Source organism: Homo sapiens, chromosome 8 (assembly GCF_000001405.40).
Source record: "Homo sapiens chromosome 8, GRCh38.p14 Primary Assembly".
Taxonomy (NCBI): Eukaryota; Metazoa; Chordata; class Mammalia; order Primates; family Hominidae; genus Homo; species Homo sapiens.
The window spans coordinates 24,383,347-24,407,775 of NC_000008.11; the positions used below are offsets into that span (position 1 = coordinate 24,383,347).

Sequence of the window (24,429 nt, forward strand, 5' to 3'; positions counted from 1 at the left end):
TGAAAAGCACTGAGTCAATGTTTATCAATAATCTCAAGTTGATTTACCCTTTTTAGCTAAATAATAGCACTTCTAGACATTTATCCTGAAGTCACCAGAAATTCAATTAAAGAAATATACACAACCAAACATTACATGGACACTCAACACACACATATGTAGAAAATATGATATTCTAAAATCACTAAAATTATGTCTTAATATTCAATGTCATGAGAATGCTTATGTCATAGTGCCATGGAAAAAAAAATAAGTTTCTTAAACCCTTTGCCCAATAAGGTTAGCTTTCCTTTTCTGCATAAGAAGATGAAAATAAATTGTAAAAACGTTAACAGAAGTTATTTCTTGATGTCGGATCATTGGCAGTCAACTTTTTTCTCATAATAAACTTGTGATATTATAATCATGAAAATCTACCATATTTGTCAGAGAAACATTGTTATTGTATAAGGTAGAACTCAGAAAGTACACCTCGAACATACTTCATATGTTGTATAGTTCGGTTAAGGCCAGCACTGTCAAGGTTATTTAAATTTCTTGTACATTTCTTATACATGCACATTTCTTTACAATTTTACATGCATGTGCATATGTGTGTGTGCAAATGCATATGAATTTTATAAGAATCTTGAGGCAGTTAAAATTATCAGCATCCCCTGTTGACTCATTAGGAGACTGAATGTTAGAGAGATTTTCAGTATCTTGGTTTGTAGGACTTTACCTGGTGCTTTTTAGATTCTGTGTTCACTGTGACAGTATCTCAAAATATGTACAGAATACTGATATATGTCCTAAATATGTGGATTTATTTCTATAAGGATACTGAACAACAATCGTAATGGTCCAGTTTGGTGAGTATGTAGATATGCACGCGACCACCTCAGTCTCAGTTCACACATTCCCACTGCTTATAGGAGCACCAGGGGCAAACAGTGTCCAGATGTGAGTCCTCAATGAGCTATAACCACAGCCATAAATATCTCTCAAAGATGAGGAACATTCTCATGATGTTGACACTGCAATTTTTTGACAATTTCCCAACACTCTTAAGAAACATTCCCCAATCTCACACGAAAAGTGGGGGTTTTAATTTTCTTGTTCAACTTCTAAAGAGAAATTGGAGAAGATAAAACTGGACACTGGGGAGACCACAACTTCATGCTGCGTGGGATCTCCCAGCTACCTGCAGTGGCCACCATGTCTTGGGTCCTGCTGCCTGTACTTTGGCTCATTGTTCAAACTCAAGGTACGTACCATCACACCAGCATTTTACATAAAAGTCAAATTATTTGATGAATGTTTAAAGTGCCTTTTGAAAAAAAATGGCATATGTTTTTATGGTCGAAAGACCATTACCATTTGCATTTTGGTAGATTTTCTACCTCTCTGCAAAAGCGAACTATATATACATAAGTATGTGTATCTTTTTGAGTGAGGATATTTTAAACCACTATATGAAACATGGATTCTAAAATTTGTCCTATTTCCTCCAATTGTTATATATTTTAACAAATTTTATGTTTGCACAATATTTTCCAAAATAGAGGAAAAAAAAGCTACATATTGTTCCATTCATTATGTCTTTTCTCTACTAAATAAAATTTTATTAACATCTTCATGAATCATGGCTGTTTAAAAAATCTGCACTTTGGGATATTTCCTTGAGAAAAATTCTTAAAAGCAGAATGACAGGGTCAAAATGACTAGTTCTGGAAAAGGAACCCTTTTTGTCTTTGAGATTGATTATTGATATTATTGATAGATGAACCATTTTGATGACACACTATACACACCCTACAAATAATTTTCAAGTCACTGGTTATTTTACTAGTGATCACATAATAAGCATGTTAAAAGCCAAGCTGTAAACCTACGTATTTCCATGTATAAACACATTTGTGCTAAACCCTATATTGAAACAGGTAAAGTACATAGCTGAGGAGTTATCCAAGCTCCCCACAAAATTCCCACTTGCCTAAAAGTTGCCGTGCAAAAGCTGCACACATACGGCTGGCTCTAGCCTTCATATTCTTTTACATTTCCTCATTGTGCATCACCAATACTATACCCAAAAGAAGGATAAAATGGAGTAATTATTATACCAATAATTATGCGATATATACACACAGCTTACTGAAGTCTTCAAATTCAATTATTTGATCCATATAAACATATAAAGACAGGCTTATAGTCAACACTTTGTAATTTGCATAATGATTTAGTAAGGATGTCTCTGGAACTGTATTTCTTATTTAATAACTCTACTAGATCTATTTTCTTTTCTAAAACACACCATCCCAATGACAACACAGAACTAACTTCCTGGCCAAAAATCAAATCCATGTATTTAAGACAACTTCCGAATCATAGCTCTGCTAGGATGAAAGACAGAGAAGAGTTTAAAATAGAATGAGGGCTAAATCATATATAACTGCATTATTAAACAAAAATCAGATGTAATACATTATAATTGCATTATTAAACAAAAGAAAACATTAATTGACCAACTGAACAACTGTGCCTGTGCTGTCGGATGAGAATTAATTGTACCTAAAGAGAAGTCAAACAACATGTAATGAAATAGAACTTGATTGAAATAAAAAAAAAAATCTACATATCTTTTTTCCCCCCATTCCTCAGAGGTCTCAAAATACTCATAGATACATTTCTAGAAAAGTGAAACTTGTTTCTATTAATATTGTTCTCACAATATTCTGCTGAAAAAGTCACTGAAATACTTCTGAATTTGATGATAGTCTATGATGCCCATAGTGCCCAAGTAGCCCTACATTTTTAAACATTCCTCCCTATTACTTTAGATAACCCAATAGTTAACAATGAAAGCTATTATTTTGGAAGATATTCATTAGGTTGCAGTTAACTATATAATTTTATACCTGGTAATGTTCTTATGTTTACCCATACACAATCTTATCTGGTAAATTATTCTTCTTTCAATCTCACAACTTTCTGGAACTTCCATAAAATCTTACCATCATTTTTAACAGTGCATGAAACAATCATTTTCAAACAAACTTGTACTCACTGAACTGCTAAGCAAAATGAACTTCAGCATTACATTTGTATTGCTTTATGTGTATAAAACCACGCCAGAAGTTTCTGGGGGAAATGGGAGGGATTGCAAGAAGGTTTTACTTGGCGTTCTGCCATATTCACCAATCTACTGCTCCTTGTCCCTATATGATCAGCCTTACCTTCTGCTCCTCTATCTGACCTATCTGTGCTGGCTTAACACCTCCATTTGTCTTCTAGATCTTATCCCTTCTCATACAAGGACATTGACCTAACATTTTCCCTCCTTCCTACTGTATCTATTCCATATTCTCTATGGAATCATTCCCATCAGCATATAAAAATTATCCCAACTTAAAATGAATATCCTTTTTCTTTCTCTTCTGCCAATTAACATCCTAAATTTTCTCTCTCCTGCCGGGTCTGTCCCGCAGACCCTGGCTGACCGATGAAGTGAGTACTCAGACACAGGTATGCAGTGTAAGAGCAGCTAGCTAGAGCTGCCTGGCCCTAGTGGCCAGAGAGCAGCTGTTATGTTTTGCCAGGCCAATTGATTCTGGTTGGCTTGTTGTTCCCACAACTCATCATATTCTGTTCACCAGAGGGGGTATTTACTGGTCTCTAAAGTTGTTTTAGCTAGCACTGACCAGTCCCATGGGGTCATATGGAAGTTGTCTGCTATGGCCTCAGTTAATCCTTTCATAAATGGGCTAGTGGCTCTGTTTTCTCTAATGCTTTTTCTTATTTCTTTAGAAGTGTTGAAAGCAATGAGTTCACGTACCTGATTGTCTTGTTGATCTTGCATCACTGGGCAGGTCAAGAGCTCCCTTCTAATTCCACTTGACTAAGACAGGGTCCCATAACAGTAGTGTATCCCTTGTATTTTTTCCAATATATTGGGAGAGAGGGCTCAGGGAAAATATTTGTCTCCTCTGTGGCACCTTTACTCGGTAACGGCGGGGCTGAGGGAGAAGGAGGAGGTGGTAAGGTAGATGATGGTTCTTCCTCCCTTCCCTTTTTAGGCTCTTCTGTGTAGAGTGGGGACAAAGCAGCCCTGACTAAGGCCCATAACGTTAAAGATGTTACTGGGACCCGTTGCCCTTGTGCATGATGTTAAGATTTCTCCCCACTTGTTCCCAGAGCTCTAGGTTTGGCAAGCCTTCTTCTGGGAACCATGGGTTATAGAAAACAACAGTTTGCATAAGGTCCCTTAATTGCACCTCTGAGACACAGGCTCTGCTAGCTTTAAGCAGCTGTTTCAATACTTTTATATACTGTTGCTGTTGAGCTGTTAACTGTTGTCCCATGACAAAACCCTAGCTTGAAAATCCCCTCAAACTTGGAAATCCCCAGCAGGCACCAATTACTTACTGCGCAGTCACTTCACTTTCATTCTCGAGGGTTTTGTCACAATCTGTTGCAGCATTCCTCACACAGGGCACCACCTGCTGGCTCTGTCCTGCAGACGCTGGCAGATGGATGAAATGACCATTCAGACACAGGTATGCACTGTAAGAGCAGCTAGGTGACTGCCTGGCTCTGGTGTCCAAAGAGCAGCCCGGAGAAGCTGGAGCTGCTTGCTTTTATTCAGTGCAAGCACAATGCCAAAAACCTGGAGCAAAAACAAACTGTAGGTAATTAACATTTATTGTTCCCCTTTCAGGGAACGTCAGGTGTGCGGATGATCAAAGGTCAGTTCCAGGTCAACATAAGTAGATGAGCCTGTTTAAGATAAATTCCCCTACACTCCCTGGTACCTACTTCTTGCCCTCTGCCTCAGGGTTATAGAATAGCTGCCTTCAGTTATTCTTCCCCGAGGCTCTGCAGAACCTTGAGAACTTTCAGTAGGTTTGCGTCCTTTCCCTATAGTTTTTCCCACCACTCTGACCAATCCCCAGCATTCCCTTTTGCATAAAAAAATCTTCAAACGTACTGTCTATACACTTTCTCTCTAGTTAGTCTCATCCCATTCTCTTCTATCCTACTTCTACAGAGTTTTCATCTCCAACACTCCACCAAGACTGCTCTTACGGCTTCAAGGATGTTAAATCCAGTGGTCATTTTGGGGGCATCATATTCTCATGTTTTTCCTCTCTTTCTTTCTCTGCCTTCCTCTCTCTTTCCTTTTCCATGGCATGAAACACACCATTTCATTTGGTGAACTCCTACCTCACACTGGCCTCCTTTACTGGTTCCTCCTCTTCTCAATTTCCTAATGTTGGAATAGCCCAGGGCTCAGTGCTTGATACTCTTTTCTTTTGTAGCAGCATTCAGTTATTTGGTGATTTATCTAATCTTTAGCTTTAAGTACCATCCACAAGAGGACAACTCCCATCTTTTTGCTTCCACACTAAAATGTACACTTTATTTCCAACAAATCCACTTAGATGCTGTTTCATGGTGGGCAGGTCTACGCAAATCTGCCCCAAAGCCCAAGGAAGCTGAGATGCCAAAGAAAGAGGCTAAAAGATCCAGTTTCTTAGAAAGCAAGTTTTAATAAGGACTTACAAAGAGAAGCCATGTCTATGTCCTGAGTGGTGACAAGACAAGACAGATGGTGGATCCCTATTCCATTACTCTCCAGATCCAGGGCCTTTATACTGTAGGTGAGGGGTGGTTCAGAAGGGATGTACGGGACAATTGAGGTATGATAGCATTACAGTTGTTTGACCCAAGGGCAAGATTTATGAGAAGTACCTGCTCTTACACAAGGAAAAATGGATACACTGGAAATCTTAGAGGGATCCCAGAACAGGGATTAATCAGAAGCCAACTTGCCAGATTAGCATCCAAGATGGAGTTGCTTTGGCCTCTACAGATGCCTAGTAGACATCTCAAAACAATATACCCAGAACCTTTCCCACATATCTGTTCTTCCTTCACCTTTCCTCAAGTCTGTCAATGGCAATTCTGTTTGCTCAAGGCAAAAATATCTAGTCATCCTTGATTCCTCTCTTTCTCTCATGTTCTATATCCAATCCTTCACCAATTCTATTGATTTCACCTTCAAAATATATCCAATATTTGACCACACCTCACTGCTTCCACTGATACCACTTTCATCTAAGTCACCACCACCTCTGTCTTACATTACTGCAATATCCTCCTAAATGAGCTCTCTGATTCTACACTTGCCTCTCTGCAGGATACTCTTGACAGATCAGACAGGGCAATCTTATTAAACAAAAGTCAGATTATGTTACTTCTCTACTCCGAACTCTCCAGTGGCCCCCATTTCACACAGAGTAAAAGCCAAATTTTCTATCAGGTCTTGCACAATCTATTCATTTCCATAACCAACCTACTTGCATATTCTATTATTCACTCTTCTCATTCCATTCCAGCTAGATCCCTGTGGTTTCTTAAATGCACTCTCTATCCAGGATCTCACATTAAAACCTTATTACTAGCTGTTTCCTCTATCCGGAACTCTTTGTTCCTAAAGAACAATATGGTTCAGTCCCGCATCTTCCTGAAGTCTTGGCTTAAAAGTGATCATCTTGATGTGACTATCATTACTTCCCTATTGAAAATTGCAACACTCACCTCTAATCCAGCATTCACAATCTCCTTTACTCTGATATATTTCATCACCATAGTACTTATCATCTTCCAACCTGTAAATAATTTTTCATAATGTATGCTTCATATGTATAAACATACATAATATAATATCATTTCCCAATAGAATGTAAATTTTATAAGAGCATGGATCAATGTCTATTCTATTATTTTATTTAACCTGACAGCCTCAAACTGTGCGTGGCCTAAAGTCAGCATTCAATAAATATTTGTGAAATGAATATTTCAGTTTTCACATAAAAGAAATATCAGAGAAGGTAAGTTGCTTACTGTCTAGAAAAGAATGTAATACGTTTACATTATTTTTTCTTCTATGTGAAAAATCAAATGTAGTGATTTGAGACATCATAGTTAAAATAAGAGTATAATATTGACCCAATGTCTCCATTTTTAAAATACATTTTTGAGTATTAAGAGGTTGAAATTTCACTCAACCTTGTTTGACTATCATTTTGATAGTCATTAAAAAGACACTGTTGGGATGGGCACAATGGCTCATGCCTGTAATCCCAGCACTTTAGGAGGCTGACGCAGTGGATCACAAGTTCAGGAGTTCGAGACCAGCCTGACCAACATGGTGAAATCCTGTCTCTACTAAAAATACAAAAATTAGCCAGGTGTGGTGGTACGCAACTGTAATCCCAGCTACTCAGGAGGTTGAGGCAGGAGAATCGTTTGAACCTGGGAGGCAGAGGTTGCAGTGAGTCAAGATCGGGCCACTGTACTCCAGCCTGGGTGACAGAGCGAGACTCTGTCTCAAAACAAAACAAAACAAAACAAAACAAAACAACAATAACAAAAACAACACTGTTGGATTTGGTTTTATTTTTTTTTTATTTGTTTTTTACTTTATATATCTTGCGAAGGTTTTTGGCTAAATCACATTGTAATCTACTCTTATAAAGTTTCCCCAAAGCCAAATAAGGTAGACAGAACAAGAAGTGAGGTAGGAAAACAGATATTTTGAGGGCTCTTCCAAAATTGCATGATTAGTGCTAACGTTGGGACTAGACATTATTAAAATTCATTCTCATTCCAAGCGCATGGCTTTTTCCACTAATGGACTCATATTCTCTTTTAATAAAAGATCATTTACTCATACATTTCTAGATTTCCTGTTTTAGTATGTGATGAATCCTTCTCAGGACAGCATTACAGCAGAACTTTGGGAGCTGACTAGGAGGGAATTCTTGCTTTGTAATTTCCTTTCATTTTCCGTATCAGCCAGGTATAAAATCTCCTGTTTTCCCTAAGATCACTCTGTCATACTGAGTGGAAAACTGTCTCTAAGCACAGATACTTATGTATGAAAATGTGAGCATTCAGAAATAAGACTGACCTTGTATGAATGATTGAATAATTAAAAGAAAAAATAGAAAAAGTATGCTGCCATCTTCCTAATAGGGTACTAAATAATTTTATATATTTTATCTTATTCAAGTTTTACACTAACCTATACCTTAGATAATAATCTGGTACAAAGCTGAAGTTACTTCTACGAGGTTATTTAGCTAGGGCATAAGACCACATCTTTTGGCTCCAAGATAATTTCTTTTCTACTATTTGTAAACAATGAAAATCTGTCTATGCAATGTAATTTCAAGTACATCAAGAACATTGTGTCCATAAACAATCTTCCTACTTCCTCTCTGAGGCTTTAAAACTTTCAAAGAGAGGCCAACAAAAACTTTATTTCTTTGAAATCTAAAGTCTTGGGGGAAAATGCTGAGAAAAAGCATCATGGCTTATTGACACACTGAGGAATAAAATTACTGCTAGTAGAGTCTTTCCTAAAAGTAAATGATTATACACAAATGAAAAACTTTATCTTTAGAGTATATAATCAGGGGTTGTGCTTCAGAGGGAAAAGGGTATAAAAAAGAAAAAGTCTTGGAGGGCATAGAGAGAAAAATTCACAATTTTTAAGAAGACTCTAAAGCAATAAGGAAATGGATTACTACAGGTAGAATTCTAGGCTCACACAACCCCTGTTCTTAATCCATAACCTGTCCTTTCTGGGCATGGTGGTCCAGAGTTTGCATACACTGAGAGATCATCTAAAGAATTGTTTTATAATCTTCATGTCTTTTCAGAATAGTGGGAGGGAGAGCAAAAAAAAAAAATCCTTGTCATCAAAGCTGAAGAACGACAATTAACTTGTTATTCATAATGTTTGCTCTCTACATAGGAATGTAGTCTTCACTGCTCTTTCAGCAACCCAAGAAATGAAAACAAAACACAACACGACTAAAACCAAAACCTTTAAATCTTTTATGTGAATATTATTTCTCTTTCTCTAGCAATAGCCATAAAGCAAACACCTGAATTAACGCTCCATGAAATAGTTTGTCCTAAAAAACTTCACATTTTACACAAAAGAGAGATCAAGAACAACCAGACAGAAAAGCATGGCAAAGAGGTAAGCAAGGTGAATGACCGTGGTAGATGTTACAATCATCCAAAGAGACAATAAAAAGCCTTTTCACTAACAGAAGTGATGTTACAGTTACTATGTAATAGTTTCATATTGAAGCCCATGTATACAACTCCCCTTTGTTCAGGAGACAGCTCACAATTTCTCAGAATGCTGCTATGGTTAAGCAGCAGAGAGTCAACAGCCTCACTTGATAAGAAAGGATAAAGCTGCTTAGACATTTCTCTTAAGTTTGAGAGTGAGGAGAGAAGCCCGGGAAGGTCGGCCATCTTTAACGGAGATGTTGTTCCTGGCAAGCCTCACCACCCCTTTTCTCCAGTGAATTGTCTTTTTCCTCAGCCATTTTGTCAATAGTGAAAAATTAAATTTTATATCAGTAGTTAACATAATATTTTATTACTGATTAAAGATACCAATTCTTTGACTATTACATTGTTGCAAGTATTTCCCTCATTTTGTAATTGTTACCTAATTCTTAGTGGGTTGAGAGGTTTTTTTTTTTTTTTTTTTTTTTTTTAGTATTTAATTTAATGTATTTAGTTTGGTTTTAAAGTAAGAAAAATACACACCTTGTTTTGATTCCCTGGCTGATCCTGAGACAGTATACTGTACATTAGGGCAAATGAGAAGTCCCTATCTCACATATTAAAGCTAGTTTAATCTATAAGTGTTATTATCACATAATTGTACTTTTTGGAAGTCCATGTTAGTGCATAATTTGTTTTGTCTTACATATTTTAAAAACACAAAAGAATTGCTTTTATCCTATATGCATTTGTAATTGTTCTTCTAATACATACTACATATATAATTATTTTAGTTATGCTCAGAAATATAAATTGCTTGATGTAATTAAATGTTTTCAGGAAAGGTATGAACCTGAAGTTCAATATCAGATGATCTTAAATGGAGAAGAAATCATTCTCTCCCTACAAAAAACCAAGTAAGTTGTACCTCCTAAAAGTCTAATCACTGGATTAGGTTATGAAATTGGGGAGCAATCTTTTTGAGGCTCCATTTAGTGTGGTTTGACATAGAAGACATGAGGCATTTTGAGCTTTAGATGATACTAGTTTGTGCTAAAAAGGCTGATTTCCTAGGAAATTATATACAAAATGTAAAACAAAAGGAATGGCATATATAAATGACTTTCTTCCTTGACCTGGGAACTTAGTGAACTTCTTTTTCTACTCAGATAAACTCAAGACTTTGATGCAGCTTTCCATTCTTTTATGAGAATATGTGTCCAAGGCTGATTCAAAATGCATGGCCTAGAGATAGATTCCAGGGGATGGGGTTCCTCCTAGTTCTATAGCAGTTAATAAACTTCTCCCTGAATGCAATGGGCCTATAAGCATATTTGTGACCCAGCACCCTTCAAAGGTTCTGTGGAGGTTGTGTCCTTGGTGCAAGAAATCTCAAAATTACTAATTTGAAGATAGGGATCTGCAGATGGGAAGAAGATGAGGGGACTTCCTCCCTCGGATTTAATAGGAAGAACCAACTCTCTGATTTGCTTCAGCAACAGAGCTCCAATGTTGGAAGAGGATTAGTAGGTCAGAACCTTAGCTATTTATCATTGTAGACACTATCACTATTTTAGTGCTGAAGTTCAGGAAGTTCTGCCTTTCTTACCATCCTGAGTGGTCCATGCAGCTCTCTGCTCTCTACAGGCACCTCCTGGGGCCAGACTACACTGAAACATTGTACTCACCCAGAGGAGAGGAAATTACCACGAAACCTGAGAACATGGTAGGGTCCGAATACTTTGTGGGTCTCTTTTGAGTTTTAGATGTTATTAGTTTGTGCTAATGTTAACTAAGATCTCCAAAGGGCTCAATTATTTTATAAAATTCATAGGTCCATGAACAGCTTCAAAAAATAATCAAAGGACTTGAAAGCAAGTTGCTTATCTATGATCAATGAGACAACAGTTTGGAAAATCACATTCAGCTTTTAAAACATAGGAGCAGCAGAAAGCTTCCAAGTGTCACATTTTTGGAAGCAACCAAAAGTCCACTTCTCCCTAGACCATTTTATCCATAGGTTAGAAAAGTTCTTCTCTATACGTACTTAAAACCTCTTGTCACTATTTACTATTTTTTGGAGATACATGCATTTATCCTGAGGTCAGCAATGAAATATCAATAATTAATATTTTTATATCTGATTAAATCATCATCCCGTAGACAATACCAGGGCCAAATGTCAGACATTAAGAATCATGGCATAGAATATCATGAAGAGAATACAATAAATCTCAATCAAGAGATGTTCATGTTCCCAGGCTAAGACAGCTTCTCAGAGCCATCCTACAAGGTACCCTAAACCTGCATTTCTCTATATAAAAAAAAAGACTTCTGCCACAGAATGGTTCTTTGTTCCCCATGCTCATTAAAACTTATTTCATGAACATCTGAATTTTTGCTAACACTATCTTCAGCGGACAGTGTCTGATAAATTAATTTATGCTCAATTGTTAATAGCTGATGATACATTAATGAGGAATCTTCTCAAGTCTTCTATGAGAAAATGTTTATGTTGACGATATCTCTTCCAAAAAGGGAGAAAAGACCATAGATGGAATTTCATAACCTGAGGCAGGTCAATTTATTTTGCACTGGAGTTTTTTCACTACCTTTTTTAGATCACTCCACGTAAGTGGCCCCTTAACTTTGCTGATGTGGGCCAACAATCATGTCTGAATCTCTAATTGTAGACAAATAATTTTGTGTCTTTGAGGCTGATAAAGGGATTCCACTAACAGACCAATTAAAACAGTGATTAAATCAGTTAGTCTGAGGAGCTCAGGAGTGATAGTGTGAAATATCTGGGATTCCCCAGTCTAGAAAAATAGATGTCTCATTTTACTTATTTGTAATGCACAGTGCCTTTGGCACTCAGCACAGTGAAGCCAAATTCTTGAGCACTGACCCCCAAACCTGAGGACCCACTGGGAGTACTGTACATCCCAAGAGGACTGGCTACTTCTCAGAGAAAGCATCCACTTTCACTATGAGCCCACCTAGGTTTAACTTCCCTGGACTCCTCCTTAGTGTAAATTAATGTCAGAAAAACAGTTCAGCCACCAAATATAGAGAGTTTCCAGTGAAGCAATTCTGAAAACCTCTGAGGTTCTTGCTGTTTGTGTTTCTGAGGATTGGTCTGGCCACAGTCACTACTTGAAGAATTTTTACATATTCAAGATGGTAGCTTTCCTCACAACTGTGATACATGTATTCTCATAGTTTATACATTACACACACACTCACATACACACACACACACACATTTCTGAAGCATAATTTCTTTTTTCCACTCCAGGAACACTGTTACTATAAAGGAAACATCCTAAATGAAAAGAATTCTGTTGCCAGCATCAGTACTTGTGACGGGTTGAGGTAAGAACTACCATCAAAATTACTCAAGATCAAGAAGCTTTTTGTTACACAGAATTAAGGGCTACTAGATATTGTCTTCTTACTATTTTGGTAAATTTTTCATTGCTGAAATGCTGAATATATGTGGTTAAAGTGAAGAACAAAGTATTACCCTGACAATCATTTCATAATCTGCTGCTCTAGGAGAAGTCAGGCCTAGCAATGTAAAACAAGAATGCTACACTCTGGACCTTGATGATATCTGGATCCACTTCTGTGTTTATCCAACCTACTCTCTGAAACAGTTACTTCCTGTTTTCTAAAACATTCTTCCCTGCAATGGTCACAGTTGAACTTAATTTTAGAATTATATGTGTTTCTGTTTACGTAGATAATTATTGCCAATGAGAGAAAGTTTGGAAAGTAAGAAAAAGCACAAATAAGAAAATAACAGGCCGGGTGCGGTGGCTCACGCCTGTAATCCCAGCACTTTGGGAGGGCGAGGCGGGCAGATCAGGAGGTCAGAAGATTGAGACCATCCTGGCTAACACGGTGAAACCCCATCTCTACTAAAAATACAAAAAAAAATAGCCGAGTGTGGTGGCTGGCGCCTGTAGTCCCAGCTACTCCGGAGGCTGAGGCAGGAGAATGGCATGAACCCAGGAGGCGGAGCTTGCAATGAGCCAAGATAGCTCCACTGCACTCTAGCTTGGGCGACAGAGCGAGACTCCGTCTCAAAACAAAAAAAAAGAAAAAGAAGGTAACAACTACCACAAAAGTTGACCTCTGAGTAATCACTGTTATTAACATTTTGTCATGTTTGCACCCTTATGTGCACATATAGACAAATGTATCTTTCACAGCATTGAAATAAAAAAAAAACCACATTGTTCTTCCAACATGGCTGATAACACACACGACAAGTTCTTCACATATCATAAAATACCTTCAGGGATATAATTTTGAACAGTTAAGTTGGATTGTAATATTTTATTATATGGATTCACCTTCTATTTATGAACTAATTATCATACTATTGTGATTATAGAAAGAGGGATTCTTTAAGCTACTTCTAATCCCAACGTGTTACTCTGGTTGGCCTGCTGATCATTCATGTTCCCCTCTGGGGTTCTTGCTATCTAAACATTCCCTTACTCCATTTTCCATTATAGTCCTAGGATCTGCCATGAAATATTTGTTAAATGAATCAATAAACTATGGAAAAATATTTACCACGGTGCAAATTCCAAATTCTTTGGGGTTGCTTCATCTTTATAATTCTTGTTCAGAATTCTCTTGGTAAATAAGTTAGGCTTCATTTTATATCGACAAATAGTGATTCTAACTTACATTACCAGAAGTTAGCTGAAAGGTCTATGAATGACAAGGCTATGTGTGAAATTGGGATGGAGGGGCAGACATCAATCCATTCTTGGAAGCAAATATGACACTGTGTGTCAGGAATCCTGAAATATAAGTCTCTATATCTCCCAGAGGATACTTCACACATCATCACCAAAGATACCAGATAAAACCTCTGAAAAGCACAGACGAGAAAGAACATGCCGTCTTTACATCTAACCAGGAGGAACAAGACCCAGCTAACCACACATGTGGTGTGAAGAGCACTGACGGGAAACAAGGCCCAATTCGAATCTCTAGATCACTCAAAAGCCCAGAGGTGAATACAATTCCCTTACCTCATCATTTACTTCAATTGTCTCAGCAAAGATAGGCAATATACTACTATTCTTAGAAATGAGTAGTATGTGTATGTGTCAAGCCTATAATTTATTTACTTATTTTTCTATTTATCTTCTATTTTAGGAAAACAAGTCTCCTTTTAAGCTTTGGAATCTTTTAGGATAAAGATAATGATTAACAATGTTCTTTTATTCTTTGTAAAGAAAGAAGACTTTCTTCGGGCACAGAAATACATTGATCTCTATTTGGTGCTGGATAATGCCTTTGTGAGTATGAAACACACGGCCCTCTCGGCCAGTTCAGTCACCCTTTAAGTTTACTTATCAAGCAAAAGCAAGCAATAAACTATTTTAGCTAATCATGGGGCATTTGTCCACCTGGGTGTCTTGGCTGTTTACATGCCTTGCCAGCAATAGTTATCTCCTCATACCCTTTAATATCCATCTGCCACCAAAATATTTAGTATTGGCAATATACTTAATACCAGATAGCTACAGGCAATCAACCAAAAAAGAAAAATAAAAGGAACGCATTATTAAAATATTGCAATACTTTATATCTTAATATAAAATTAAATATATTTAATATAAATATTATATCAATATAAAATCAACACAAAACTCTATATAACTTAGAAACTATATTGATAGATACAGAGGAAAATACTAGAATCTACATTTCTATCTAGTAAATATTGTTTTGTAATCAAATTTTAATCACATGATTCGGTTTAAAAACCTAAAAATTGTTAATTTGATGTATTCAACTTTAAAATGAAGAACACTAAAATTTTACATGAATGTCTAACTTTTATCAAAAAACTCCTAACATTTGAAATAGAATTTGCCACAATGCAGTCTTACATTATTTAATTATGGAATGAATAGATGTTAATTGTAGTGAAATTCATAATTTTTCTTAAAATGTGAAATCTTGTATGCCATCAGCTTTCTCAGTGTAATCTGCTATTTCACTATACTTTGTGTTTTGTATTTTACAGTATAAGAACTATAATGAGAATCTAACTCTGATAAGAAGCTTTGTGTTTGATGTGATGAACCTACTCAATGTGGTAAGACATTAGTCATGTAAACCTCATGTTTCTGCATAGGGAAGTTCTGCCTGGAACTTCCCTAAGATTTCACCAACAAGAAGTTAAAAAGATCCCAAATGTCTTAAGTTAAATAGTTCAGGGAAATTTTAGCAGAACAAGCATCAACATCAAGGTGAAATCACATGCATGGCAACAAAGACAACTTTTAAAATTTTTACTTTCAAAATGGAAATTCATTACTTGTAGTCCATCACTTTATCTATTACTTGTGGTCAACAAAAGCTCTCAGACACGAAAGGAATCCTGAACATTTTTATGAAGATAAATGCTCTTTCCACAGATATATAACACCATAGATGTTCAAGTGGCCTTGGTAGGTATGGAAATCTGGTCTGATGGGGATAAGATAAAGGTGGTGCCCAGCGCAAGCACCACGTTTGACAACTTCCTGAGATGGCACAGTTCTAACCTGGGGAAAAAGATCCACGACCATGCTCAGCTTCTCAGGTGAGCACATGCTGGCCAGGTGAATGTAGGCAGAATGGATAGCTATCCCCAGGGTTCCTTAGCAGGGATTTCCACTCTGTAATATTTCCCTGATCAACTGTCAGAGTGCTTGACATTTTACCACTAGCAATTCACCTGTGACATTATTGGATCAATAATCAGATGATAGAATGAGCTCTTGGATATAAGATAACCATCTGTGGTCATAACACTAAGGAATAGTAGAAGTTTTTTGGGGCCTAGTGAATATAAAAAGGCTAGGGCAGCGAGGCAATTCGTTAATGTAATTAACAAAAGCTAATGGTTACAAAGACTCAGATTGTGACAGTAGTATCTGTAACTTTTCATACAGCGGGATTAGCTTCAACAATCGACGTGTGGGACTGGCAGCTTCAAATTCCTTGTGTTCCCCATCTTCGGTTGCTGTTATTGAGGTTTGTAAATTTGTAGTAAGGCTCTCTGTGGTTCTGTATCCTCTATGAAGGCCAGCATAACACCTTATATAGAATGAGCAAAATGAACATTTGCTGAATCAATGAATCAAGGAAGAAATGAAACTACTGGTAGGTCATTGCACTGAAGATCCCTTGGGTTATGCGACAGAACATTTCCTTACATCAGCCTTGCTAGAACGTGCCATATCATTCTTTAGTTCATGTTAGAAAATCAGAGTAGGAATATTGGAGCAGAAAGGGCATCCAGTACCCTCTGTGGCCTGGGCTAATACTAGTCATCCCCAGTATCTATGGCCAGAGAGGCCAGACAAGGAAGAAGGGTGCATGCAGGTGTCATATGGCCAAGAACTCCAGTGTCATAGGTATCATAGCAATAGGTTTTGGAGACCTCCGATATGGTGCCTATGAGTACTTCCTATGAAGAATGTAATTAATTCAACCATGATTTACTGGTAACTTAGTATCCATTAGTTCAACAAATATTTATTGAATAAAATGTAAGTATTCATAGGACCCAACCACTTTAAATGCTCTTTCAACGTTTTGCAATACACAGTGACAGGGAAAGGAGCTAACAATTCACTAGTTTTCATCTCTTAAGCCATTTTTAAAGTACTGCACATTGGCAACAATTAAATAAAAAAAGAATAAATAAATATATCTACTTTTTCCAGGCTAAAAAAAAGAATAATGTGGCTCTTGTAGGAGTGATGTCACATGAGCTGGGCCATGTCCTTGGTATGCCTGATGTTCCATTCAACACCAAGTGTCCCTCTGGCAGTTGTGTGATGAATCAGTATCTGAGGTGAGACCTTGTCATCCTAAAAGGAGAGAGATATTTTCCAAATCTTTTTTTTTTCTGAAGACACATATTATTCTCTATTGTTTAATTAAATATTAGATCTTGTGTTGTTCCAAAACAGATTTTAAAATTGTTTATAAAATACATACTAATCAACAGGATAGATTGAAAGTGTTACCCAAAAAACAATCTTAAAACGTGTAGGGTAACATATTACATTCTTAACCTAGTCTTGGATTACAGTAATCTGCTGATATATGTTTCATAAAGACATCAAAAGTGCTATTTTACAAGTAAATTATGTTTAGGGACACTTGCAATGAATGTTTCTTTTCATATATATATATATATATATTATACTTTAAGTTCTAGGGTACATGTGCACAACCTGCAGGTTTGTTACATATGTATACATGTGCCATGTTGGTGTGCTGCACCCATTAACTAGTCATTTAGCATTAGGTATATCTCCTAATGCTATCCCTCCCCCTCCCCCCACCCACAACAGGCCCCAGTGTGTGATGTTCCCCTTCCTGTGTCCAAGTGTTCTCATTGTTCAATTCCCACCTATGAGTAAGAAAATGCGGTGTTTGGTTTTTTGTCCTCACGATAGTTTGCTCAGATTGATGGTTTCCAGCTTCATCCATGTCCCTACAAAGGACATGAACTCATCATTTTTTTATGGCTGCATAGTATTCCATGGTGTATATATGCCACATTTTCTTAATCCAGTCTATCATTGTTGGACATTTGGGTTGGTTCCAAGTCTTTGCTATTATGAGTAGTTTTCCAAATCTTTAAGAATTCGGAAGCAGTCTACAGATGTTGAATGGACATATCTTTTCCCAAGGGTTGTGTATCCCATTAATTCAACTTCCAGTCTCTTGATGCACAAATTTTAAAAACTACCAGGGCTCATTCTTTAAGATTTCCAAATATGCCAAGATAGAGCTTGCACGTATGATGACCTTATAATTTTAACTTAAAATAATTCCAACTGAAAATGAACCCATAGTTTCTAAAAATATTAATCTCATTATGTTGATGACAGGATCTTCTTATATTCCCATCATCAATCAACCAATCAATCTGTTTTTGCATATTTATGAATTACCTGTGAATGCCAGGCACTTTGCAAAGACTTTGGGATAGAAAAATAAATAAAACATACTTTGTTCTTGAAATGCTCACAAAGAAGGAGAGAAATATTTCCATAAAGCCCAGAAGCCTGCAACTACTTCCCTTCACTGGTTCATTATTATTATCTCTTGCCCCTCAATTCTCAATGCAAAATGAGTGGATAATTACAAATGGTGATGGCTGTCACTGCTGTCCTTTAGAACAACATTAAATGGCCACATGGAAATTGAAATCCTTCCAGCTCTGTGACTTAGGCTCTAGGAAGAAAAATGTCCAAATACCATAGTATGCATGCTCTACCACCCACCACATTTAATACAGGGCAGTCCTAAATGGTTGCCAAATTTGGAATTTCCATTGAGCTCGGTAATACAGTTAGATAAATCAGAGTCTCGTGTTTCTTTATCTTTATTCTGTGTTTCACGCAGAAGGCACCACACTGTATATCATATTATTTGAGTTTTCTTCTGATTACAGTTCAAAATTCCCAAAGGATTTCAGTACATCTTGCCGTGCACATTTTGAAAGATACCTTTTATCTCAGAAACCAAAGTGCCTGCTGCAAGCACCTATTCCTACAAATATAATGACAACACCAGTGTGTGGGAACCACCTTCTAGAAGTGGGAGAAGACTGTGATTGTGGCTCTCCTAAGGTATTATTTATTAGAATTATTGGGGCAGAAGAATTATGCAGTTTTCTTTTTGTTTTCCAATATTCTTTTGGAAATTCTTTCTAAAGACAAACTTGGCATCGTAGTTAAAAAGGAGATTTGTGCTTGTGTTTTTGCTACTGAATTTAGTAATCCTTTGAAAGGCATTTCAAAAACTAGGACTTGATTTTGACATAATTATATGAAGTTAAATGTAAAAAAGTAAATTGTTAACTATAACATGTCACTTGCAATCTTTCCAAAACGTGTATTAGTCAGAAATCCCTAGACGACATAATGTCACAGTTGATCATCTGTTGAACAGTAACAATTAGAGATCTAGAAGTAAGTTCTACTCAGAGGGAGAGTTGGTCTTTTCTCATCAAGCCAGTGTATAAACCAGGTTGTAAACAGAGAAGAAAGAGGAAAAGAAAAAATAATCACAAAAATCTGTAGAAAATAGGCTATTAACATAGAACATCCAGAATAAGCACTATGATTCTGCTAATTTATATAAATTAGACTCCTTCAAGGCATTTATGTACTCTAAAGAATGCTGATCACTAGCAATCCCATTGCCTTCTAAAAGATATTCTGTTGCTCCACTGGTGAAGCAGGATGCAGTCCAAGAAGTATCCATTACTTAAGATGGCTCTGTGACAATGAACATGGCGTCTAAACTCTCTATGCTTCAGTTTATGTATTCAGAAATTTTAGCTGGTTAGATTAGATCAGAAGACTACACAGCCTAACTTAGTCATTTGTGAAGAATATTGTAAACTTTCTGTTAATTATAAAGAGGCATGGAATTTTACAAAAGATTTGACATTTTATAGCAAATTAGAGTTACGTTTATCTCGTTCTTACTTGCTTACATTCATCTATGGTTTCTTGGGTGGAAGACAATTGAAGATACTCAAAACCCTAGGTACTTCTGGTTTCAGCAAGTAAATGGTATGTATTTACAGAGAAGAAAGGGGGAAAGGATGAAGGAAGAGGCCAAGAGAGGACCATTGTATACACAATATGTAACATCTAAAATTCTTGAATTATGTCAGTCAACTCTTGTATTATTTTCATATCTTGTTGATTTTTTTCTTATGTAATTGAATAAAACCAGAGAGTTCAGGCTTAGGAACAACTGAATTTCTAAATAACTGTTTTCTTTTCCAAAAAGTAGTATGTATACTTCATACAGTATTGTTTATTGAGTAATCCAATTTCTCATAGATCTGATATCCCAGTTTATTATTCCTAGGTATATAGTTAGGGTTTTTTTTTTAGATTTTAAAAATAAGCTTTCTGTCTAGATATTTCTCCCAGGCATCACACTATTTTAAAGATTGTAACTTGACAATGCGTTTTAATGTCAAGTCTCTTCATTGTTTTGTCGTTACTGTTTTAGCTGCAAATTTGCCCTCAAATACCATTGAGATTTGATGGAAATGCATTAAATTTATATTTAACTTTGAAGGGCACTGATATTTTTACAATATTAAGTATTGTCTTAAAAGACAAGTTGCCTTTAAAGTTTCTCAGGAAATGTATATATAAAGTTCTTCATGGAGTTCCTGCACTTTTGAAAGGCTTTCTAAATTATTTTCATATTTTTCTTTCTGCTGTATGTTCAATTTTTTTTAGTTTGGACTTACACATCATACATCTAGACAAAATTTATTTTTGAAAAATTCTTGAATAATTCTATTTCTCACCTTTTGAGAAGTCTTCATTGCTGATAATATTTTGTTTTCTATTTTTCAATGTCCTTGGTCATTTTCACTGGAATTTGCCTATCAGAGTAATTTACCTTAAAAAGTAAACTTTCATTGCCATCTTGTGCCAGAATTCTATCACCTAGTCTATGGGAAGAAAATGTTGAACCCACCTTTTTCCATTGTGTGTGTGCTTTGAAGGAGTGTACCAATCTCTGCTGTGAAGCCCTAACGTGTAAACTGAAGCCTGGAACTGATTGCGGAGGAGATGCTCCAAACCATACCACGTAAGACCTTTTGTTTTCTTTGTTCCAAAACGTTTTCTCACGTTTATTTCAGATTTGAGAAAAATATGCCACTGGGTTCCATAATACACTAAAACACAATGTATTTTATATTTTTCAAACGACTCAATTTTGGAGAGGAAAACTAGCAATCATTATGAGCATGACTAAGGATTGTAGACAAACACTCATGAGAAAGTAGCTACTTTGACATTTGTGAGATTAGGGCTGCTGGAATCTATGCCAAAAACTGTTTAAATTCCCGTTAGAGAACGATGAGTTTAATACAAACCAAAATGAGAAAAGAAAAGTGTATTTAAAAACAGCCTCAGTTGATGAGCTCATTTTATTCTTGGTTAAAAGCTGATAGTTTTAATTTGCAAGGCTGTCAGAAAATCAATAGCATTTAAGAACATGCTATAAGATTTGACAATTTTACTCCCTTTAAAGTGTCTCAATGAGCCATAATTCAGGTAGTAGTTCTGTGTCTTATACAATCCTATGTGAGCTGGGCTAGGGAACCCAGTTACTTGGAAAATGGTACTTGTTTCAGTGAAAAATAACCTCTAAATATAAAATGGCAACAAGAAAAATAAAAAATAGGGGAAAGACTCAGGATACATTTTCTTTACTCCTCTTTCCCAATTCTTTTCTGGAATTGAAACTGCAGAGACAGTATAAAGAAAATAATTGACTCAAGCACCATCAATTATCATTTCATAGGGAATGGATAGGCAAGGTCAAAGATAAGGACCAACGCTTGTTTATTTACCAAACACCATTTAATACAGCCTACATGAATCATGGAATGAATCCACTCTGCAGGGAATTCTGGAAACTGTGCCCAGGCCAGAAACATAGCATCACAAAAGAAAAAAAATCATCCAGCTATTTAAGGGCTTGGAACCCTAGGTGAACATGCCCCTTACTGTGCAAGATAGGCAATTTATACCATGGAAGAAAATTGGAGGTGGACTCAGGAAACTAAAATTCTAGTCTTTTCTGTCAGAAACTAGCTGTGGGACTTTAAGTCCAGATAAATTAGTTTTTTTCACTCATGAAATACAGCTAATGGTATAGTCTCTTAAATAATATGAATTGTTATTCACATAATTTAAATTCTATACATTTTCATTATCATTATTACATAATATTTTGTAACTTGTAATAACCCTGGCTTCCAAATTTTATTTTTCCTTCAATCAGAGAGTGAATCCAAAAGTCTGCTTCACTGAGATGCTACCTTGCCAGGACAAGAACCAAGAACTCTAACTGTCCCAGGAATCTTGTGAATTTTCACCCATAATGGTCTTTCACTTGTCATTCTACTTTCTATATTGTTATCAGTCCAGGAAACAGGTAAACAGATGTAATTAGAGACATTGGCTCTTTGTTTAGGCCTAATCTTTCTTTTTACTTTTTTTTTTCTTTTTTCTTTTTTTTTAAAGATCATGAATTTGTGACTTAGTTCTGCCCTTTGGAGAACAAAAGAAAGCAGTCTTCCATCAAATCACCTTAAAATGCACGGCTAAACTATTCAGAGTTAACACTCCAGAATTGTTAAATTACAAGTACTATGCTTTAATGCTTCTTTCATCTTACTAGTATGGCCTATAAAAAAAATAATACCACTTGATGGGTGAAGGCTTTGGCAATAGAAAGAAGAATAGAATTCAGGTTTTATGTTATTCCTCTGTGTTCACTTCGCCTTGCTCTTGAAAGTGCAGTATTTTTCTACATCATGTCAAGAATGATTCAATGTAAATATTTTTCATTTTATCATGTATATCCTATACACACATCTCCTTCATCATCATATATGAAGTTTATTTTGAGAAGTCTACATTGCTTACATTTTAATTGAGCCAGCAAAGAAGGCTTAATGATTTATTGAACCATAATGTCAATAAAAACACAACTTTTGAGGCTTTTCTGTGTGGTCATTTTCAAAACTGAGTATTTTCAAGCTTCTTTTGTAGGTTTGTGTTAGGTGCTGAAGCTCACATCATTGGAAAATCATCGCTCTGGTAATTTGATAATATTGTCACAGATAGCCAAGCAATGCTATATGAACATGAGAAGAGGAGGTTGTATCATCTTTTCATGCCCAAAATGGCATGATGTGAGGCCAGTCACACAGGAAGACTAGGCTTCTTCCTGAGGCTTCTTTCTTGAAATAATTTTTAACAATTAATGAAAGTTACCTAAATTTCCACAGATGCCTATGCTGGGAGACTAGAAACTTAGACATGTTTTTAAAGATTGGGCTTTGAAACCAAGGGCCTCCTGGGATGCCCTGCATGACAGTGTTGGCCATCTCCCCCTTCATGGCCTTGATGTCATCGATGGGCTGGCACTGCCAGTGTTTCCTGTGAAGCTGTATGCCAGGTGTGCATATCAGCCCGGCTGCAGCCCCAGGATATGCCTTGCCAAGATCTCCACTGCCCACGGGTTTGATACGAACTTCCAGCCAATTCTTCGAAGGAAAAAGGGCTTCTTAGGACATCCTTTCCACCCCACCCCCAACCCCTGACCTTGTGCTCAGGTAGGGGCTTCTTATAGCAAAACTCACTGAGCTGCAGGGATTAAAATCAGTGGCATGCTGGAGACTTCTAGTACAGGCTTGTGAATGTCAACTGTTAAACTTTAAGAAATATTGTGAGCTGGTTGCTAAACACGGCCACTACCGAAACCCAACGTGTATAAATTCATAATTAAATTCTAGCAAAAGCAAAGGAAATACTCAAAACATATCACTCCCTATTCTACTACATTTGACTCATCTATGCTCTATAGTTATTTAACTCTAACATAGTTATGTGATGTAAATACTATATAAGCATGTGCTACTGAGACCTCTTCCCTACTGTCTGGCCAGTGACATCACGTTGCAGTGGTATATGACAGGAGGACTTTAGCACAGAATAGCCAAATGCTACAAATCGAGGTTTGATTTATTGTTTTATTTATTGTCTATACTTAAGAAAGTGATGGAGTTTTAACTTAAAAGTAAGTCTTGTTTATAGCAATTAAAATGTGAAAGCATAAAATTTTGAAAGGATATTTTTTCATTATTTGAAAACTATCATCCAACTCAATAGTCACTCACACTTTTAATGAATGAGTGAAATTCTAATATATGTCTTTATTCTTTCAATTTTACTCATTGATGTAAGCAAAAATATCAACCAAAATGTTGGAACTATACTCGTTCATTGCTTGCCAGCATAGTTTGGCTAAGGCTTAATAGTTCAACAGAAACCAACGGAAGCATTCTGTTAAAATCAATTGCCTGTTTGGAATTATAGTAATATTGTATTTTTAATTATTATTCAAAAACTGCATGCTACACATTATATCACCGAAATTTAGAATAAACATAGGTACTTATATGTACACATCCTTTTTTTCCCCAAGAGATAGCTTTTTTCTCATCAATAATTATTAATTATTAATTTTTATTTTTATTTCAATAGTTTTGGGCGTACAGGTAGTTTTTGATTACCTGGATAAGTAATCTAGTGATGATTTCTGAGATTCTGGTACACCCATCACCTGAGCAGTGTGCAGTGTACTCATATATAGTCCTTTATCCCTCACCCTCCTTCCAACAATTCCCCCCAAGCCCCCAAAGTCTATTATATCATTCTTGTGCATTTGCATCCTTATAGCTTAGCTCCCATTTATAAG

The 24,429-nt window shown here is 36.3% G+C and overlaps 1 protein-coding gene and 1 long non-coding RNA gene across 5 annotated transcripts in view, besides 2 other annotated features; one reads left to right on the top strand and one right to left on the bottom strand.

Moving 5' to 3' along the window:
• Positions 1 to 24,429, bottom strand: part of ADAM7-AS1 (ADAM7, ADAMDEC1 and ADAM28 antisense RNA 1) — a 252,805-nt gene that overhangs the window by 87,533 nt on the left and 140,843 nt on the right. The window contains exons 2-3 of the long non-coding RNA NR_125808.1: positions 4,405 to 4,645; positions 3,815 to 3,995 (exon numbers count right to left, since the gene is read on the bottom strand). This is a non-coding gene — a long non-coding RNA (ADAM7, ADAMDEC1 and ADAM28 antisense RNA 1). The remainder of the gene's footprint in view (positions 1 to 3,814; positions 3,996 to 4,404; positions 4,646 to 24,429) is intronic.
• ADAMDEC1 (ADAM like decysin 1) lies at positions 939 to 22,667 on the top strand. 4 transcript variants are annotated; one of them, NR_156422.2, is made up of 15 exons: positions 1,159 to 1,246; positions 8,916 to 9,034; positions 9,916 to 9,992; positions 10,723 to 10,801; positions 12,374 to 12,450; positions 13,924 to 14,110; positions 14,337 to 14,399; positions 15,134 to 15,205; positions 15,528 to 15,694; positions 16,047 to 16,128; positions 16,824 to 16,954; positions 18,569 to 18,746; positions 20,657 to 20,742; positions 21,946 to 22,098; positions 22,188 to 22,667. NR_156422.2 is itself a non-coding variant. In NM_001145271.2 (15 exons), exons 4-15 carry the CDS (start codon positions 9,946 to 9,948, stop codon positions 21,950 to 21,952), a joined length of 1,176 nt encoding a protein of 391 aa, NP_001138743.1. In that variant the 5' UTR covers positions 1,159 to 1,246; positions 6,783 to 6,872; positions 8,916 to 9,034; positions 9,916 to 9,945; the 3' UTR covers positions 21,953 to 22,667. The 4 variants fall into 4 exon arrangements, 3 of the variants coding, with proteins under 3 accessions (NP_055294.1, NP_001138743.1, NP_001138744.1); NM_001145271.2 differs by adding an exon at positions 6,783 to 6,872 and having other exon boundaries at positions 21,946 to 22,667; NM_014479.3 differs by having other exon boundaries at positions 939 to 1,246; positions 21,946 to 22,667.
• Positions 3,807 to 5,006: an enhancer, noted in NCBI's record as "BRD4-independent group 4 enhancer chr8:24244666-24245865 (GRCh37/hg19 assembly coordinates)". NCBI's record gives its function as "activates an origin of replication core promoter dependent on BRD2, P300/CBP, MED14 and CDK7 cofactors, and independent of BRD4, by STARR-seq in HCT116 cells {active_cell/tissue: HCT116}" and the evidence as "EXISTENCE:reporter gene assay evidence [ECO:0000049][PMID:35650434]".
• Positions 4,259 to 4,518: an enhancer, noted in NCBI's record as "active region_27122". NCBI's record gives its function as "activates an Ori minimal core promoter by ATAC-STARR-seq in GM12878 lymphoblastoid cells {active_cell/tissue: GM12878}" and the evidence as "EXISTENCE:reporter gene assay evidence [ECO:0000049][PMID:35858748]".